General features: G+C 37.4%; 1 protein-coding gene across 14 annotated transcripts in view, besides 1 other annotated feature; it reads left to right on the top strand.

Annotated features, from left to right (window-relative positions):
- The window catches only part of PKIB (cAMP-dependent protein kinase inhibitor beta), a 254,453-nt gene that overhangs the window by 189,609 nt on the left and 43,824 nt on the right, over window positions 1-21,020 (top strand). For 11 of the 14 annotated variants that reach the window (NM_001270393.2, XM_047419002.1, NM_001270394.2 and 8 more), the window contains one exon: window positions 13,549-13,615. The exons of 1 other annotated variant lie outside the window; for it this stretch is intronic. The gene's annotated coding sequence lies outside the window, so the exon portion shown is untranslated. Of the gene's footprint in view, window positions 1-11,963; window positions 12,179-13,548; window positions 13,616-21,020 lie in introns of all 14 variants that reach the window. 2 more of the 14 variants (XM_047419003.1, XM_047419005.1) reach the window with 1 other exon arrangement.
- Window positions 2,562-2,762: a silencer, noted in NCBI's record as "peak6076 fragment used in MPRA reporter construct". NCBI's record gives its function as "represses an SCP1 promoter by STARR-seq MPRAs in K562 erythroleukemia cells {active_cell/tissue: K562}" and the evidence as "EXISTENCE:reporter gene assay evidence [ECO:0000049][PMID:32103011]".

A 21,020-nucleotide genomic window follows, 5' to 3' on the forward strand; every position in this document is an offset into this window, starting at 1 on the left:
TCCTTTTTATTGACAAGTAATATTACATTGTAAGAATATACTACATTTTATTTACACATTTATCAGTGATGATGGACATTTGTGTTTTTTCCACTTTTTGGCTATTATGAGTAACATTGCTATGAATATTCCTGTAGAAGTTCTCTGTGGACATATGCTTTCATTACTTTTGGTTATATATCTAGGAGTGGAATGGCTGGATCATATGGTAACTCTATGTTTAACAGTTTGAGGAAATGCTAGGCTATTTTCCAAAGAGACTGCACCATTTTACATTTCAGCCAGCAGTGACGAAGCCTTCCATTTCTTTATATCCTTCTCAACACTTGTCATTGTCTTTTTTTATTATAGTCATCATAGTGAGTGTAAAGTGGTATTTCAACATGGTTTTAACTTGCAGTTCCCTAATAGGGGATAATGATGCTCTGTATCATTTAATGTGCTTATTGGCCATTTACATACCTTCTTTGTAGAAATGTCTATTCATGTTCACTGGCCATATTCTAAATTGGGTTATTTATCTTTTTATTATTTAGTTGTAGTTCTATATATACTTAACTTACAAATCTCTTATCAGACATATGATTGGCAAGTGTTTTTTTCCAATTCTTTAGGTAGTCTTTCACTTTTGATGGTGTCATTTGGTGCACAAAGGCTTTTTATTTTGATGAAGTTCAATTTATCAATTTTTTTTGTCACTTGTGCTTTGGTGTCATATCTAAGAAATGATTGCCTAAACCAAGGTCTCTTTCTCTCTCCTTCTTTCTTTCCTTGTCTCCTTTTTTTTTTTTTTTTTTTTTTTTTTTTTGGAGATTCATTCTTGTTGTCCAGGCTGGAGTGCAATGGCACAATCTGGGCTCACTGCAACCTCCGCCTCCCGGGTTCAAGCAATTCTTCTGTCTCAGCCTCCCAAGTAGCTGCGATTATAGGCATGCACCACCGTGCCCAGCTATTTTTTTTTTGTATTTTTAGTAGAGACAGGGTTTCCCCATGTTGGACAGGCTGGTCTCGAACTCCTGACATCAGGCGATCCACTTGCTTTGGCCTCCCAAAGTGCTGGGATTACAGGCATCAGCCACCGTGCTCGGCCTCTTTCTGATTTAAAAACATAAAGATGAGGCATGGAGTAATATCTTTTCCATGAGTGAGGTTGCAACTTAAGCTAACACTGAATTTAGTAATAACATTTCTAACAACTACTGAAAGCTTCCCTTATGAGGTTGGTAAAATTATTACTGTCACTTTACTAATGAGTAAACTGAAGTTTAGAGAGGGTATATAACTTGTCCAAAGACACAGAGCTAGTCAGTAGCGGAGCTAGCAAGACTCAGGGGTGTCTGATTCTAGCTGCTGTTTGTCTGCCTTCCAAGAGAGAAGCTTGAGCAATAAATTATGTAGGTTTAGTTTAGTGGCTCAATTCCTTAGGTCTATTTCTGTTGTTTCCCTTATCCTGATTGTATTATTTCTTCTTCGTTTCCTTGCTTTGAAAAACTTCATGGAAATTGGACTCTGGTGATTCTGTTACATCTCTGTTCTTTTCAGTGTGTTGAAACTTCTGGGCATGGGTAATTGTGGTGATAGCTTGATATCTGTTAATACCCACAGATCATGAGATGACACCTAAAAGCACTAGAAACACAAGCTATTCTAGAATACCTGGCTCATTTCAAACCATTTTAATGTATTCTTTAATCTAAGATCTATTAGTCTGATCCTGGTTTTGCTTATCTTAGGAATTGGCTACACATTTAGGGATGCTCTAATTTAAAAAAGATGAATCCGAGAAAATGTAACCTGAAAGAAGAGCCTGTTAAATTACTATGTTTCCTGGATTAACATAGTTTATACCTGTGCCCTCCAGGAGCTGCTAAGAGTCTACCATCATCCCTACGTGGATGTCCCAAAATGGCTGCCACAAGAAAGTACCACAAACTGGGCGGCTTAAAACAAAGGAAATTTATTTGCTCATAGTTCTGGAGGCCAGAAGCCTAAACTCAAAGTGTTGCCAGGGCCATGCTCCCTCTGATGCCTAGAGGGGAGGATCCTTCTTGCCTCTTTCAGTTCTGGTAGCTCCAGGTATCCCTCAGCTGGTAGATGTGTCCCTCCTATTTCTTCACAGGACATTCTCTGTGTGTCTGTCTTTACGTTGTCTTCCCTCCTTTTATAAGGACACCAGTCATATTGGATCAAGGGACTGCCCTACTCCAGTGTGACCTCATCTTAACTTGGTTACATTTGCCAAGACCTTATTTCCAAATAACATCATATTCACATGTACTGGGGGTTAGGAGTTTAATATATTTTCGGGGGAAACGATGCAACCCATAACACCATATCTGTATTTGTTTTGGGGCTGAAGTGTGATTGTTTCAGACCAATGCCTCAGAGAAATATGGAGGTGGGTGGAATCATTCTACTGAAAATTAGTATTTTAGCATTTAGAACATATGTTCTTTGTACCACTTCCTTCAAAAAATTTATTTACATATTCATGAGGATGTGGATATTCTCATATTGAAGGTCTCTACAAGATGATGTTATGTCAACTAGTGCAGTATGATATGACAACAGTAATACTGCAATGTGGTGAAAGTACCAACAACTGACAAAATCCACAGACTAGCTGCAACAGTCAGAGATTGATTGATGTTTGAAGCCCAGCTTTCAGCAGCAGCTGCTTCATTGAGAATTGGTTTTAGTGACTCAGCACTGCAGCTGCCATTTTTCTCTGAGCCAGACAAATCCTGACATGGACAATGTACTGTTATAGGAAGTATAAATTCAGCTAGTTATGAATGTCATTGGCCTAAACATGAGACTTCTAGTCATTCTCAGATTAAAGGAAGGAGATAATTTTGACACTTAATGTAAATATTAAATTTACTTATTTATTTATTTTAGAGACGGGTTTTTCTCTATCACCAGGCTGGAGAGAAGTGATGCGTGATCATAGCTCACTGTAACCTCAAACTCCTGGGCTCAAGCAATGCTTCTGCTTCATCCTCCCAAGTAGCTGGGACTACAGGTGTGTGCCACCATGTCCAGCTAATTTTTCTATTTTTTGTAGAGGTAAAGTCTCACTATGTTGCAGGATGGACTCAAGCAATCCTCCTACCTCAGCCTCCCAAGTGCTGGGATTACGGATATGAGCCACTGTTCCTGGTGTGACATTAAATATATTTTTGTCAATTTTTTTTGTTGTTGTTTATTTTTGTTTTGTTTATAGCCTTCTTGCCTTTAAATTTAATTTAATGTAATGCCTTAAAGTGAAGCATATCTAAATAATTCATCTTCTAAAGGCAAATATATAATTGTAATGTTTAGAATTTAGAATGCCTAGTAAACGCCCCTTTAGGGAAAAATAAACCTTTGTAAAAAGAATATTAATACATTTTAAAATTCAAATTTGGACTTTAGTGACATCAACAGTGTTTACATTTAGCTATTAGTCTTCCTTGGACTAGAGTGAATGGCAGCCATGAAGTATACAGCCTGTACAGCCTAATACAGTGAACTTATATAAATGCTTCTCCAGTTCTAGAAAGATCATGAATTAGTAAAATTAAGCTTGTTTTTGTTCTTGTTGACTCATATACCTGGGTTAAAAAAAGTTTCAAAATGACAGCAATGACAAAAAAAATAAGGTTAGGCTGCATTGCTTAGTAAAGATAAGTAGGAAAACCAGAAGTGAACATTTCAACCTTTGTCTATTGTTGAGCAAAATACGAAACCTTAATTTGGCCAGTTTATTTTGAGAGATTGTTCTTGCAGATAATGCTTAAGAGTCACTCTTCAAAGGGCCCTTTAAAATGGATTTATTGCAAAATTTTATTTCAAATTATTTTCTTAGTCTAAAATTCAAAACTAACAATCTGCATCTTATTTAGATAAAAGCATCTAAATCTGCAGCATGTTAAATAGTTAGCAAAGAAATATTCTTCTGAATAAGATCCTTCTAATGCATTTCTCTGCTGTGTGTGCTTTTTCTAGGATATAGAAGAATGAAATAGCAATGACAATGTTAGGACAAAGTAGACTCGGGAGAGAGACCTTCAGCTCAAAAAATAATGAGATCAAAATCACACAGGAATTCACACAGTGTTAGTTTTGAAAGGAAACAGACGTTAGGGAAAGGAAAAAAGAAAGTTGGTTGTAAAGTCAGTTTTTAATGAAAAAAAAACTGAAAATGCATTTGAAATTTTCATAGATATTTTCTGGTCCTATGCATATAACTGGTTATTTAGAGGTAATTGTTTTTTGATGAAGCTGAGTTTATCCTCCACCCCCTAACCTGACACCTCAGTAAAGGAATGGCCTGTGACCTTGTGCTAGTCTTTTAACCTTCTAAAGCACAGTTTTTCCTTCGGTATAAAGAATAGTCATAATAGCAACTTCTGTTTATTAAGCACTTACTATGTGTTAGGAATTACACTAAGTACTTTTCGGACATTGTCTCATTTAATCTTCACAACATCCTGTGAAGTGGAAGTTTTATTTCCACAGTACAAATAAGGAAATGTGAGCCGAGTTTCCCCAAGTCATATAGCTATTATGTTCTAGAGCCAGTCTGTCTCCAAAGCTCGTGTGCATAGCATTATACTGTCTTTAATGTTAGTCTTTTCCAGCCTTAGCCTTCCATGACCAAACCTTTATGACCATCTGACTTCCTTTGCCCAGTGCACTCACCATCGACACTGCCTCTCAGCCAGATTCAAACAGGTTAACCTTGCAAAAGCCCTTAAATTTCCAACAGGTTACCTATGCAGAAGAAGAAACTGAAGTTCAAAGGGCTTATTGCTTTGTAAGGGCTCATTTAGCTAACCAAAATCATGTCCGTTTAATAGCAGTATCTTGACTGACTCAAAAGGGCACAAAAATATAATATCTACTTCAAAAACATTTTTTAAAACTGGGGATATGTGCTAGTTGTGTTTTGTTTTTGTTTTTGTTTTTGTTTTTGTTTTACTTCTCTTCCACCTCTAGGAGTCTATCAAGTCACTTTCTGGTGGATACGCAATATGACAACACATCTCTTAGTAGTCTTGAGCTGCCCTCATGGGCGCATTTCTGTGTGCTTTTTGAAACAGACCAGACTCCTTTGAGCAGGTTACTGATCTTATCAAGGTAGGGAGTGAACATCTGGTATTAATCTATAATGCTAAGAGGGTATCTTATAGAAACCATTTTGAAAAAATATGGGATATATCAAAAGTGACCTCTAAAGTATAATTCATCAACTTTACTTTCAGACAAAGTCTGAAAAGTATATTTCTTTTTGTTGCTCCTGTGAATCGACTTAGTCAACCACTACTACTAGTATTAAGTCCATATGGCGGACAGACCTGGATTCATGACTTGACCTTGCTTGGCACTGGTTCGATTATAACCTCAAGCTTCCTTAGGCATCCAATGGTACTAATATTTTTTTTTTTATGGCTTTTGAAAGGATTCAGTGAGAGAATGTTTAATGCATCTAGAAAGTCATGGGCACTCCACAATTGTTTGCTCCCTTTCCTCCCAGTGAGTTGGTATGTTCCTTTTTATATTTAACATAGTTTTCATTGGCCTTCTTCTGTGAGCACAAATGTTTATAGATGCCAGATGGAAATAATGCGTCTATGTATGTAACAATACTGGGGTTAGACTTAACTTTTTTCAATTTATTTTATAATTAACATCAAAATTAACTGTGATGCCTAACAATTTCCTCTTTAACCTCAGATATACCTATTAAAATGTTGTAAGTCGGCCAGGCGCCGTGGCTCACGCCTGTAATCCCAGCACTTTGGGAGGCCGAGGAGATCGAGACCATCCTGGCTAACACAGTGAAACCCCGTCTCTACCAAAAATACAAAAAATTAGCTGGGCGTGGTGGCGGGCGCCTGTAGTCCCAGCTACTCAGGAGGCTGAGGCAGGAGGATGGCATGAACCCGGGAGGCGGAGCTTGCAGTGAGCCGAGATGACGCCACTGCACTCCAGCCTGGGGGACAAAGCAAGACTGTCTCAAAAAAAATAAAAATGAAAATAAAAATAAAAGTTGTAAGTGAGATGAAAGATAATGTAAAGCTTATGAACTTTTTTGTTGGTGTTTGAGGATTATAATATAGGTAAGAAAGTAATATAAGCTAAGAAGTTTAATAGTTATGGAAAAAAATTAAAAGTTACTTCTTTTATTGAGGCTTTGCAAGCAAACATTAAGAAGCACTGAATAGTTTACAAAAAAAATGTGAATCTGCTGTTTTGGTGCTGTGGTTTTTATGTGGCACATGGTAAAAAAGTAAAGAGAAGCTCTTTCCAGATTGATCTGAGTGGCTTTCAGGTTATATTTAAATGCCAGGAATTCTAGAACCACACAGGCCACACCTGAAAAGATATACAGACAGACAGGAGTGAAGCAATGGCAATTTTGTGTGTCGAATGCTGTGTCATGAAATGCAACCCCCACCCTCTACCCTGCTCCCACTTAACATATACACACTCTTCTCTTACTCCAACTCAAAATAAGAAAAGAAGGTTTCTTTCCCCTCAAGCTAATTTCTTGGTGTACAGCAATCTTTGTTCAGCTATTCTGCAACCATATGTAAAGGAAAGGTCATTTTAGAGCAGGTTTTCACACTCTGATCTACCTGGAGAAGTGAAAAGTATTGTCTGGTCATTAAGTAAAAAAATGACAGGGTTTAGAATCCCAAAATGTGTACCAGTATTAAGAGTTTAAAAGAATACTGTATATAGGATTCAAGGATAACACTAAAAACAACAGTGAAACTGTCTTCCAAACAATTGGAAAGACCGTGGATAATGCAGTCACTATGTGAAGAGAAAAAGGAGATTCCTAACCGATTTCTCTTCAAAGGAAGAGAGAGGGATATCAATTTCTCATACTAAGTGAATTAGTATGATCGACTTTTATGAAAATGTTCTGGTAAAGAAAAATGGAGTCTTTCCTGATGTCCCTTAAGCAGCTATACTACACATTCTGCAGACTAAAACTAGAGAGAAAACAATCTTCAGAGAAAAAGCTAAAATGGTGTGTTTTGTCAATATGAAGTGGACAGTGGAATACAAAACAGAAATCTTCGGTCTGACTTCTCCCTAAAAAATGTCCTCCTGGTTGGATCAACCAAGCCAGGTGGGGAAGAAGAACCGTTGGAGGGCCTAGTATAACATTGCCTGAATGTTCTGGAATGCTGATGACCTTCCAGGAATATTAGCACATCTCACAAGTGATACAGACTCCCAAACTCTTTCTTCTTATATATAACAGTTGGCTTCTATGTTGCCAACTTTATTAACTTCAAAGCTTAATGTGAAATTTAAATCACCATATCTTCCAATGAAACAATAAAAATTGAGGAGGAGGATTTGTTTCAATTTGCCATTTCTACTTACAGACATCAGCCCCTGGCTGGGTGCGTTGGCTCACTCCTGTTATCCCAAAACTTTAGGAGACTAAGGTGGGAGGATTGCTTAAGGCCAAGAGTTTGAGACCAGCCTGGAAAATATATTGAGACCCCATTCCTATTAAAAAAACAAAACAAAACAAAAACAATCAGCCTCCTAGAAAGAATATGTGAGTAGAAAGGCACTTATGCTTCATTTTCCCTTCATTCTTGTCACCTCTTTTCTTCCTCTATTGTGAGAATTTAAAAAGGACAGAATGTCATAGGTATCTGTTGGGTGTTTTTTTTTCTCTTGGAATTCTGGAAATTTAAACTAAAGAAATTATTGAGATCTGGCTTGTTCAGAACTGTAATTAATGCCTTTCTATTTCAAGAAATGATTGCTTCAGTTTTTTTTGGGAGCTTTAAATGGATTTAAGACATTTAGCCCACATTAGATTCCCTTTAAATTTGTTTGTCAGCTTGAATCAAGGTTAATTCTATTATTCCATGGTTTTAATCATTAACCCTTTCCTATGTAGGATAATAACATTCTTTTTTTTTTAACCTTTGCTGATTACTGCTGCTCTCTTCTGCCTTTTGTGAGAATACCCCATCATTCAGCTTTTGGCATTCTCTGATCTTAGTCTTAGATTCTATTAATTTTCACATTTTCATCTGTATATACTATACAAAATTGCTGACATTTCTATTTTCAAATTTTTCCTTTTGTCTGAGTTCCAGGCCCATACTTTCAGCTCCCGCCTTGGCTGTTTTCCACCATCTGAACTCCACCCATCTCCCTCTCACCTGTTATTTTGTTGGTGGTTCCAGTATTGTCCTAGTTCCCTGGGCATAAAACCTTGAAATTGTTTGAGTTCATCATTCTCCCTCATTCGGTGTAGCCTATCACCACATTCCATGGATTTTTCCATTTTGTAAATTCTTTTTATGTCCATATATATTAGTTTCCGACATCAGTTTGGCAGTTATTGCAAAATCCAAAAATGACAGTGGATGAAACGCAATGTAAGTTTAGTTCTATCTTATGTGCAATCCAGGCAGGTGCTATAGGGCTGGTATAGTGGCTTAACCAGGTTAGGGATGCAGGCCCCTTCTATCTAGTTGCTTTGTCATCTCCAAGGTATTGTGTTTGTCCACCTCATGAAGCATGACTCGCAGCAACAGATGCAGTCCAGTTTTCAGAAAGGGCAAAAGAGGAATGAGAGACCACATTCCCTTCTCTTTCAGTATGTAACCTGGAAGTGGAGTATATCACTTCTGCACCTAGCCATATTTAATGAAGAAATCCAGTTGCATGACCTAGCAGCATGGAAAGCTTGGTAATACTATCTGTGGCTGTGTACCCAGCTAAACTTTCTATTTCTATAGAAAGGGGGAGAGGAGCAAATAGCAGCCAGCCAGCAGTATTCCCTACACTCGTCTTCCTCCAGTTTTATAGTCTGCACCCTTTGGTGGGCCCTTATTGCCCATTGCCAAGGCTATTTCTAAAAACTTTTGCTGGATTTGCTATTTGCTTACTACCAATCCACCCATCACCCATTCTTTCTTATAAGGAATCACATGTTTTTGTTGTTGTTGTTGTTGTTGTTGTTGTTAAACCTCATCAGACCTTTGCTCAGTGGCCCACAGCATGAAGTCTCTGTTTCAATATTCTTTATAATCTGGTCCTAGTATACCTGTTGCCAGCCATCTTTCAACTTTTATTATTTCATTAATTTATTCATTTAGTATATGTATGTTGAGTACTTACTATGTGTCAGGCAGAGTCATTCATTCTCCTAAGCTAGTTCATTTGAGTTGGTGGACAGAAAACATCCTCATGAATGCACATCATTTTCAATGTCACCATGATTCATCTCTGTGATGATTGTGTTCACCATTGTAGTGCTTGAGAGGTTAAATGCATCCTCTTAAGAGTAGACTTTTAAAACTAGGTCTTACAGTTGAAGTGGTTAACTTGCTTCACATAGTCAGATGATGTTCAGTGGATACATTTTAACTTTCAGGGTTTTATGTATTTTAGAACTATGCCTTGCTTTTAAAAACAAAACAAAAATTTAAAAGAATACTTATTGAAGAGGCCAGGCGCGGTGGCTCACGCCTGTAATCCCAGCACTTTGGGAGGCCGAGGTGGGCGGATCACGAGGTCAGGAGATAGAGACCATCCTGGCCAACATGGTGAAACCCTGTCTCTACTAAAAATACAAAAATTAGCTGGGTGTGGTGGTGGGCACCTGTAATCCCAGCTACTTGGGAGGCTGAGGCAGGAGAATGGCTTGAACCCAGGAGGCGGAGGTTGCAGTGAGCCAAAATTGCGCCACTGCACTCCAGCCTGGTGACAGAGAAAGACTCTGTCTCAAAAAAAAAAAAAAATACTTATTGAAGTATCTATAACTAGATTTAGTAGCTCATTGACATTGTAAAATAGTTCAAATGAAAGCATAGGTTAGGTCTTATCTCGTGTTACAGTTGTCTAGTTGCTTATTTGTTCCCAAGCAACCTCACCTGATCCCCAGTCTTACAGACTGAAGTGTAAAAGCCTTTACCGGAACATGCCTTTGACTGAACTTTGTCCTCCAAACTACATTTCCTTCTCCTTCTACAGTCCTTGGTGTTTTGAGGCAGAAATTTGCATAATGTAACTAACCTGACATGATTTTTATGTTTACAATTCATTTTTCAGAGAAGTCACTGAACCAGGTGAGATACATGAGGCTGACTTATACAAGTTCAGGGTTAAATCTGTATTTAAAACTTTGATATTTTGTTCATCATAGATCTTTGCATAAATTTCTATTTTTACAGTGTATGGCATTTACATGTTATTTATCTTGATTTCTGAGCTTTTGGGCACCCCCTGAAATTTTGTGCTTCAGACCTGATAGATTCTTCTCCTTTATGCATGTTATTTGCATGTTAACATGGCTGGCTGCTTGAGTAATTAAAACTCAAGTTAGAAAATATATATTTGGAAGAAAAAATAAGTATTTATTGTTTTACCAAACCCTAGTACCAAAAATTACCTTAATTCCTGTTAGTTAATGGTTTAAGTATTTATATTTACAACTGAGGTCAGCTTGGGACATGCAGAGAAATCAGTTCCTGCAAGCAAATACTGATTGTCCATCAAAAAGGAGGATGGACAAGCACCAAGATGAATATTTTTAGCTACATTATTATATCTTTCTTGAAAAGGCTGCTCTTGTTCCATCTCCAGCCTGGTAGCCTCATCTCTAAAGTGGCAGTGTAGACATGTAGTTTTCCCTGAGAAGGAGGAGAAGAGTAGGGAAGGGAGTGAGTAGAGCATCAGACCTTGAAGCCCGAGGTACCCAGAGCAGTTCTGCTTGCATCCATCTTGAGTGTAGGCCTTCTGCTAAGGGGTTCATTTAAAAAGAAAATATTCCTCATCTAAAAACAATAGTTTGAAAATGATTGAACTAAATGACATTCAACATCTCTGCTAATTCTGAATGTGCATGTGTTTCTACTGTGATAAATTTCTGCTGATTCACCCATACTTTGATCTGTTCCCTTTGTAAAGGGTATCAATACACCTTGATGAGTCCACTGGCTTTTTGGCTGTTGATATGTCTTAGCTTCCATGTATATCACCAAGTTTTCTCTTGATTTAGTTGTAGTTTCAGGAGAGAGAATGGAGAAAGAATCAGACCTCGTGTGGTAGAAACATGCAAATTCTGCATCGTACACTGAGGATCATGAAAAAATATTAGAACATCTAATTATATCTATTTATATTTTATTTTTAATGTCTGTTAATGTATTTAACATATATAATAATAATATAGCAAATAAGTTATATTAGACTATTAGGATAGTAATACTTATAATTTATAGTATAAATATTCATATATAGGAGATATGTACACACAAAAATTATTTTTATATTTGTTAGGGGCGTGCTACTGTTCTTGAAATCTTCCCAAGAATTACTGCACTTTCATTAGTAAAATATTTGATAAGTGATATTTTAAAGGATGAGTAGAGACTCTCACAGTCTCAACCTTTAGTATTTTTGTGTTAAGCATATCTTCATTAAATCTGAATTTTTATGTACATTAGTAATAAAAAACATGGATGAAATATTTTCAAAGTCCACCACATAGGTATATTTGTTTGTAAAATAAACTGGAAAGAAGTGGAGAGGGAAAAACATAACTATTTCACTCATTTTTTTTTATTTTGGTTGTGTTGCAATAGACAAGGATAGGTGGATTTCTGTAAAAAAAATTAATCATGGAAAGGTTATAAAATTATAGGGATATTTTAAACATGCATTTTTAAAATGCAAATAGCAATGTTTACTTTTATCTAACAGACTTTAAACTAGATTCTTATTTATAGTTTCTACTAGATCTTTGCCAAGAGCTGCATCCAAATGGTTGAAAATATTAAGACTACAAAATTTTGTTTTCTTAATCATGTCTTTTAGGTGTGTATATTTACATTACATTATATAAGTTTTGAAGTTTACAAATTTTTATCTTTTTGCTACTTACTGTATCATCATTTCTTCATTTATTTCTCACTTCCTCTTCTCAGTTCCTTTTATTTGGTCTGGACATATAGGACTCATTGAAGGAAAAAGTCCCAGACAAAGAGTGAGAGGAAGAGCAAAGATCATTTGAGAAACTGAGTATGGGAACAAGGTTAAAATGATGTCTGCTTTTAATTTTAAAATTCTTCCAAGGTGGTAAAATACGCATTCAGGCAGCTCCAAGTCTGAAAAACACCTAATGCACCTTGACATTCAACAGGTATTTATTGCACTCCTCCTACCATCTGTGAAACACTGTGCTGGGAACAAGACAAATGAGTCACAGTCCATGCCCTCAAAAGGCTTAAAAAAATGTGTTTGCAGCAGAAAAGCAGACACTAAACTGAAATGTGTAATGCCTGTGATAAGCACAAAGACAGATCTATACCAGAGTGTTTTAGAGCACATAGGAAGGAACCTGCCTAGACTAAGGAAGACATAGAAGGCTCTGGAAAGGGTTGCCCAAGTTGACCCAGAAGAGATGAAGAAGATATACTAGCAAGGAGATGGGGAAGAGATGGAGGGCAAAGAAACTCAGCCACAGGGGTGACAGAAATAAAGCACAGGATTCTACTGGTGGAGTGTGACTGCAGAGTTTTAGGATTGGTGGAGGTTGGGCATGGGTGAAAAGGAAGGAAAAGTGGAGTGGGGCTAGTTCTTGGAGGGCACCATGTACCACGTGAAGGGATTTGGGCTTGATATTGTAGGTGATAGGCAAACTAATAAGGGTTAATTGTAGAATGATCATGACTATATTTACTTTGAAATAATTCTACCTGACACCTGTGTAAAGAATGGATTTGCAGGAAGCAAGAATGCATACAAGAAAATCATTAGGACGTTGTTGCCACAGTCCAGGAAGAGTGAATGGTAGGTTGAACTAAGGCAGTGAGAGTGTGGTGAAGGGAATTTGCAAAGTGCCTTATTGCTATGAGTGGCTAATGTGCATACCGACGGTTCATACTCCCATTATTTTTCACCCTTCTTATGCCAGATGCTAAGTCCTGAAATATAAGGCCCATTCTGTGAATAGGAATAATATATAGGTAGTTTACTTTGATTTCCAAGAGCAAGATGGTTCGATTCCTTTGACATGATCCTTATGTGGGTACTGGTAATATTGGTACAATGCCTTAGAATACTTATGGAGGGTGCAGAAGATTCTCTACAATTATATTCTCAAAGTCTGGTGTGTTTCTACAAACTTCCAAAGGTGGTATCATGCCAAATATTGTCCTACAATCATTTTTATGTGGCTACAAATATTTCCTGTAATGATCAGTTGTTTTTACACGATGATTTCTCAACCTGGCAATGATCCTTAACAGCATCAATGCAGCAATCATCCACTGGATTTTGTAGCTGATAATCTTGGGAACTAATAACTGTTATTTGAAATAAGATCCTTTTGACTTTTAATAGAAAATTTTATGTTTGAATTAGAGGTTCGGCTTTTCCCGAGAAAGTCAGGCAAGTCATGATGTTTACCAGTTTTAGCTAAATATTTTAAAAAGCCAAAAGTAATTAAAATTTGATTAACTGGATTGCCACCTTTTCTGGTTCTTCATAGTTTTTTTTTTTAATTTGCAGGAAAGAAAGTTTATCAGAATTTTTTAAACCTGTCTCAGAAATAACAACATATTTTAATCAGAGATTTGTAAGTATCCTTTTCTTCTTTATTTAGGAAATTATATGTTGATTTTGTGAAAGAAATGGTTCCTACCATAAAACACTTGACAGGAAATGGATATTTAGTCTGAAGTGGCATGCAAAATTTGAATGAGAGTAATACATATGCAAAAATCTACCACTCCTCAAACAACAAAATAAATAAACCAAAGCCTCAATTAGAAAACCTTCACCAAGTCTATCTATAGCTCATAAATATTTGGTTTATTCTTTGGACATTTCTCTTTGATGATGTCTTTTTCATTATCGTTTTTCCTTTTGTGAAGATACATGTGTGTCTACATATTTTAGAGAGTTTGTCACATCAATGAGAAGGAAGAGAAAAAGAGGTCCACAGGAAAGGGAAGAAATAGTATTCTGTTAAAAGTTAATATGGCTTTTCTATGACCACTTTTGGTGAATTTTTTTTAAAAATCAAAACTAGGTCTCATAATACTAAGGTCCATGCAGTTTCATCATAGTTCTGAAAGGCCTATTATTGTCCTATACCCAAAACTGATCAACTCACGAATGAGGAATCTAGGAGACTTTTTCTATTTTAATTTACCAGAGTTCAAGACAAGCACACATTTTCACAAACAAATATTTTATTAGATAAATTTAGAAGAAACTGTAAGTGAAAAAAAATTATGTTTTTTTCCCTGAAAAAAAATCATGTCTAATGAAGTTTTATTATAGCACTAAAGCAAATAATCAGCATATTGAATTTAAGAACACAGAGTTGATGGTGTAAAGCAGCAGTCCCTGACCATTTTTGGCACCAGGGACTGGTTTCATGGAAGACAATTTTTCCACAGACTTGGGGTTGGAGGGGATAAGGGACGGTTTTGGGATGATTCAATCACATTACATTTATTGCACATGTTATTTATATTATTATTACATTGTAATATATAATGAAATAATTATACAATTCATCACAATGTAGAATCAATGGGAGCGCTGAGCTTGTTTTCCTGCAACTAGATGGTCCTATCTGGGGTGATGGGAAACAGTGACAGATCATCAGGCATTAGATTCTCATAAGGAGCATACAACCTAGATCCCTCACATACACAGTTCACAGTAGGGCTTATGCTCCTATGGGAATCTAATGCTGCCACTGATCTGACAGGAGGCAGAGCTCAAGTGGTAATGTGAGTGATGTGGAGTGGCTGTAAATACAGATGAAGCTTTGCTTGCTCACCTGTTGCTCACCTCCCGCTGTGTGGCCCAGTTCCTAACAGGCCATGGATTGGTACCCAGCCCATGGCCCAAGTGTAAAGAAGATCAGTAAAGCAAAGTCATGCAACTAAAGTCTGGAGCTGAGTGGGCTCTTCAATAGCTGTGTGAGACCTTGGACAGCATAATTCTGGGGTTCTCAACTATAAATATTTGTGTTTGAGGGTTGACTAAAATGATGACTACCCTAGATCATTTTATGATTCCAGGATATCACTGAAACATTGCTGCTTAGTAGTTAACAGTCACTTTATCTTGGTTAACTATTATTATTATATGACATTAACATTTGTGTAGTAGCTAATAAAACTGACCAACAGGAACTGAGATATATTTCTATCTTGCTTCATCAGATAAGACCTCAGCAATTGTTTAATGAAAAGGTGCATTAAATGTTTAATTACACATTTTGCGGCAATATAGGCTGTTTCATAGCTTTGTGGCATTAGTTTTCAGTTTCATTGCATACATTTATTAATCTTGTGATTCCAGGTAAGTTGCCTGAACTTCCTAACACTTCAGTTTGTAAATATTAACAATGACATTAACCTATACTGTACCCGTGATTTCCTGTCTTTACTACATTGTTTTATAGATCTTGAGGTTTTGTCCTTGTAAAGATTTCATTTGTAAGCATATATATGCTATGTTATGGATGATATTGGTATTTGTAAAGTCACTGGAAGAATTGCTATAATGCAGATTCTTGGCCACACTTCCAACTATTAACAAGTATCTTAGGTAACTCTTATGAAAGTAATTCATAAGCTAGTCTTTGAGAAATACAAATTTTCCTTTAAAAATGATCCCCAAATCAAAATCGAAGGGGAGCTTTGTAAAAAATACACATTTCTAGGGCTCTATCTTGGAGCTCCTGATTTAGCAGCAGGGCTGAAGCAAGGCCTTGGAACTTGTTTTTTTTGTTTATTTGTTTTTTGTTTTTTTTAAAACTGCCTCATTGATTATAATACTTTGAAAATTCCTGCTTTACAGCCTCACTGCATCGCTAACTTTTGGTTGAAGAAAGTTTTGGCTGTGCTGCTTACCATATATGGATGAGGGGTTGTAGTCAGACTTGTGTGCTTCTGCTAGTGCAGATCAAGTAAAGAATGAAAATGATGAGTTTGGATTGTCTGCAGTGCATACATTGAGATTGACTGTCTTCTCACCCTTGGCTATGTAGCTGCTTTAAGTAAATCCATATGTCAAGCCCATAAATTTCAGATTTCCTGAACCAGAGAAGACTGTTGGAGATGATCTAGTTCAAACCCCTTATTTTGCAGAGGAGGGAATTAAACTCAGAGATTTGCCCCAAGGCCCCCGGAGAAGACCAGGACTAACAGTTGGATTCTTGCCCCAAGCTTAGTTTCATTTCTGTCACAATTGAATGACTCTAATTCTGCCATTTTAGGAACCTATGCAACTTGTGAAACCAGCTTTCTTTTCTTCCTTCCTTCCTTCCTTCCTTCCTTCCTTCCTTCCTTCCTTCCTTCCTTTCTTTCTTTCTTTCCTCTTTCTTTTTTTGTTTGAAATGGAGTCTCGCTCTGTCGCCCAGGCTGGAGTGCAGTGGCGAGATCTCGGCTCACTGCAAGCTCTGCCTCCTGGGTTCATGCCATTCTCCTGCCTCTGCCTCCCTAGTAGCTGGGACTACAGGCACCCACCACCATGCCCGGCTAATTTTTTGTAGAGACGGGGTTTCACCGTGTTAGCCAGGGTGGTCTCGATCTACTGACCTCATAATCTGCTCACCTCGGCCTCCCAAAGTGCTGGGATTACAGGCATGAGCAAAACCAGCTTTTCTAGTGCTGACTTCAGGCTTCCAGAGCAGGCATAGAAAGTGCTCTTAACTGTCCAGCTCTATGAAAGTGAGAGCATCTTCCTTCCCAATTCCAGTTCTCTGTCCTGAATGAAAAGAGGCAGGAGGGCCACTGAGGGATTGCTCATACTCACCTGGACAGGACTTCTGTTCCTATAGTTGCACCATTTTCTCTATTGCCTTCTTGGTCTTTATGTTAGCCAGAGCCAGGCCTTTTCTTAAATTCTGTATCTCCAGAAGGCAGAGCCATCATCTTAGTTTGTTTCTTTTTTTTAATAGTTGCATCTTTCTGTTTTGTTTTGTTTTGTTTTTTTGTGGCACATCTTTACTTGCCCTAATTTGGACATTTTTCAGCTCTGGAGTGCAATTAAGTTCAACAAATACTCAGTGCTTCTCTGTCCGAAGAGCAGTCCTGGGTACCAGAGATGTAAAATGAATCCAGTATAGTCCTAGTTTCAAAAGCATTCACAACATCATGAGAAATGAGATAAGTATGAAAATTGTTGCAGGAATGTTTGCAAGTGCCACAGGAGCACAGAAGCCATGACTTCCACTTACTAGGAGAGTCAAAGAAGTCTTTGGAGAGGAGGTGACATTGGTCTGTTTTAGGTGCAAAACCATAACCCACAATATAAATGTACAACATTTTGAAACCACATGAAAATAGTGTATCTAAGTCTTAATAAAGAGAGCAAATGCAATGCAGATAAATAAGGCTGGTGTCAGCATGATGGAGGAAGAGGGACACTGCAACACGTGGCGGGAGGCCTGTGTCTTCTCACACCACTGCCTCCAACTTGTGTGACTCTCAGCAATCCAGTCAGACTTCTGTGGCTACAGGCAATCCTACATACTTGGGATACCATCAAGTGAAAAAAAAGTGCATCCCAAACAAGGTGTTATGTGTGCCAAAACTTCAGTTTTGAGTAGTTGTTGCCCAAGTGAAGAGAAGCCTTGGAGGAAGAGCACTTCAGCCAGGAGGAAGCACAAACGTGCAGTGACCTGTGTTTGGAGGTGAAAGGGAGTATGTCTGAGAGTTATAAGTCCTGAATGGAGGGTAGTTTATTTCAACTGCTGGACTGGAGGGGAGCAGAGGAGCAGCAAGAGAGAAGCCTGGGAAGTAAGCAGAGTGTATTTTGTGAAGTGTGTTAAAGGTCATGTTAAGAAATTGGGTGAGCTTTTCCTGATGTAAGGGGATGGCTGAAGAGCTGAGATGGTAAGATTTGCTGGGCTGTTGTCAAGAATGGATGAGAGGGCAAAAACCGAGGCAGGAAACTCAGTGAAGAGGACCATCTAAGCTAGAGAGGCTGGTGATCTTGGGTAGTGAAAGAGGATGAGAAAAGCAGTCCATCCACAGATTTAAAACCTATTTAGAGACTAGAGTTTATATGACTTGATCATGGAGGGTGAGGGAAAAGGATGCCTCCTGGGTTTCTGGGGTGGATGTACAGTGGTGTTCACTTGCAGGAAAATCCAGGAGGAGGAACAGGTTTCAAAAGGAAGGTGATATTTCTAAGCCACGGTGATGAGATCAGCTGATTTGTCCTGGGGCTCTTCAATATTAACTGGCCTTCCACATGCTGAGAGAATCACGTACATTGTCACACTTCATCATCTCAGTTGTGAGAGGTATTCTTTTGTGAACTCCAAAGAAGTGGAAGCTGAGGCTTCGAGAGCTTAAGTGCCTTGTATAAGGTCCCTTAGATAATAGGTAGAGGAGCCAAAAGTTCAGAACAGATTCTAAACCAAACCACATGTACCTTCTATTATAGCACTCTGCTTTCTTTTTTCCTTTGACACATATAATTCTGTAAAAATAGGTCAATTGTAGAACACAAATAACTTGGGACTTTATGGATTGTTAAATAGAACACATAAACTCTACTTTCTATAGAAGGTTTGCTGAAAAATCAATTCACAAAGGCTGATTAATTGGAGAAAAGGCATACAAATCTATTTAACATGAATACATAGGAGCCTTCAGAATGAAGACCCCAAAATACAGGGGCAATTTTCCATTTTTACGCTTAGGTTCAAAAAAGTATGGATTGCCATATAGAAATATGATTAGACAAAATTGATATTATCTCATGCTAATAGTCTGACTGGGGAAACCCAGCAAGGTCTGTCGGTCTAGATTCTTCTGGGCTTCTCTAAGCATGGATTCTTTCCTTCTGGATTTGGGGGAGGACCCTCTCTGAAATGGAGGGGTTCTTCAGACCTATGGTTGAATGAGTTAGATAATTTCTTTATGGCCAGTTTTTAGACAGAAAGGGAGAGGGAAGATTAGAGTCATATTTTTAGGTTTCATGGTGGGCTTTGGGAAAAGAGGGATTCTGATTTCTGCGACCTGCCTTGGGGAAGAGGGATTCTAGTTTTTATGACAAGCCTCAGGGGAGAATGGGACTGCCAGACAGGAAGGCAGGCCAAGATCAAAGAAAAACTTTTGCTTCTGAGGCTGCTTCTGAAGTTTTCACTTTGAGGTATTGCTTACTGAGCTCCAACATGTCTGAGTTACCACCATCCCTCAGTTGAAATACTGCAATTGCCTCCTAACTCATCTCTTGAACCAACTTTTCCTCTTTTCCAATCTATTCCGTTTGCTGTAGCCAAAACGAACTTTTTAAAATTCAGTTTTGATTGTCATACTATTACTTAAAATCCTTCAATGACCTCCTGTTACTATTAGGATAGAATAAATTCTTAATATGTCTAAATGTTGTGGCCCCTACTAACTGACCGACTTCATCTTGTGTCTATCTTTCCCTTCTTCCCTTTGCTGTGGCCACACTGACCTTCCTTCAGTTCCTAAAATGTGCTCGTCTCTCCTGCATGAAATACTCTTTTCCTACCTCAATACCAGTTAACTACATTTCTTCCTTTATATCTCAGTTCATACTATCAATGAGCCAGGTCCTGACACATTCACATAAAACCTTGTAATTTTTTTTTTATCTAAGACTTACCACATTTTGGAATTATATATGGATTTGTGTTAATAGTTTTTATAATGTTTTTTCTCATCCATTGGAGTTCTTTAAAACAATTATAAAACTGTTTGGGCAGGCATATAATTGGCACTCAACAGATATTTTTCAAATGAATTAATACATTCATAAGTGAATAAAAATGACTTTGGATTAGCTAATTTATATTTGATCATTTGGTAAATTACTTTTTAGAATTCAGAAAAAGGACATTTCTTTTACACCTATAAAATAAACTGAGTTTTGCTCATATACAATATTGTTTTATTATACTCCAATGATATAACATTTCCCCTGGTATTATATTGTAATTGCATTTCTCCTTCTGAAGTCAATTTTCTTTTGCTCAATAAATGAAGATGATTCAAACAGCAGAGGGGTAATTACCTAATTGACATTTTTTGGATTAACCAATTAAGAAAAAACAAAACTTGGAAATGGCAACTATAAAGATCAATATGTCACCATTCAGTGTACCAAGGAAAGAGAAAAATATGTCATAATTTACTTTAAATGTCACAGCTTTATTGCACTTGCTAATTAAATGATGCTTTTCCATCCCAGCCACATTGAAAATGATTTAGAATTTTAGGAGTGATATTTAATTGTTCCCTCAAGAATGATTTTCTACCATGTGACTGTGCACCATGTAACTAATGAGGCTTGGATATGGCTTAAGAAAGCATGCGCTAATGTGTCAGCCTACAGCCCTCAAGTGGTGATGTGCTATCAGTGCTCAATATTCGTTCCAGAACTCAGGACTGAACAACTGATTGAACTGTGGGATGGAGTCTAGCGTGAGAAATTTCTACATCCTATTTTCCAGTTATACTGCTGTGGCCCTCTGGGATTGTCTACTGCATGTAGACAATCACAGTTATCTAGCCTTTCAATATCTATGAACCACCTCAGAGAAATAGATTAGATAAACACTAACTTTTTTTTTTTTAGCTCGAATAGTCTATAATTCTAAATGGAAGAAGTGGGGAGTTACAGATAGGTGGAGGAAGGCTTATGAGTTAGAGAGTAAAATTATACTTGTTACAAGACACAGTTTTGTCAGGCGGCTGGCCAGTAGGGCCATGATTTATGATACAATTGAATGTTTGCCAACATGGGGGTCCTGGTCTCCTAGGATTCTATAGAATTATTAGAGGAGTCCACAAAGCCATGTGTCTGTGTCTAAATACTGTCACATTAATGCTACCATTATCTAAATGTACATAGATTATTTTATAAAAAATAATTTATTTAAAGTATTTAATTCACAAAAATGCTTTTTTGTTACATATATTCTGAATCAATGGATTATCTAAAAACTGTAGGTTTTTTCAACTTGAGGGGTTATT

This window comes from Homo sapiens, chromosome 6 (assembly GCF_000001405.40).
Source record: "Homo sapiens chromosome 6, GRCh38.p14 Primary Assembly".
NCBI classification, from domain to species: domain Eukaryota; kingdom Metazoa; phylum Chordata; class Mammalia; order Primates; family Hominidae; genus Homo; species Homo sapiens.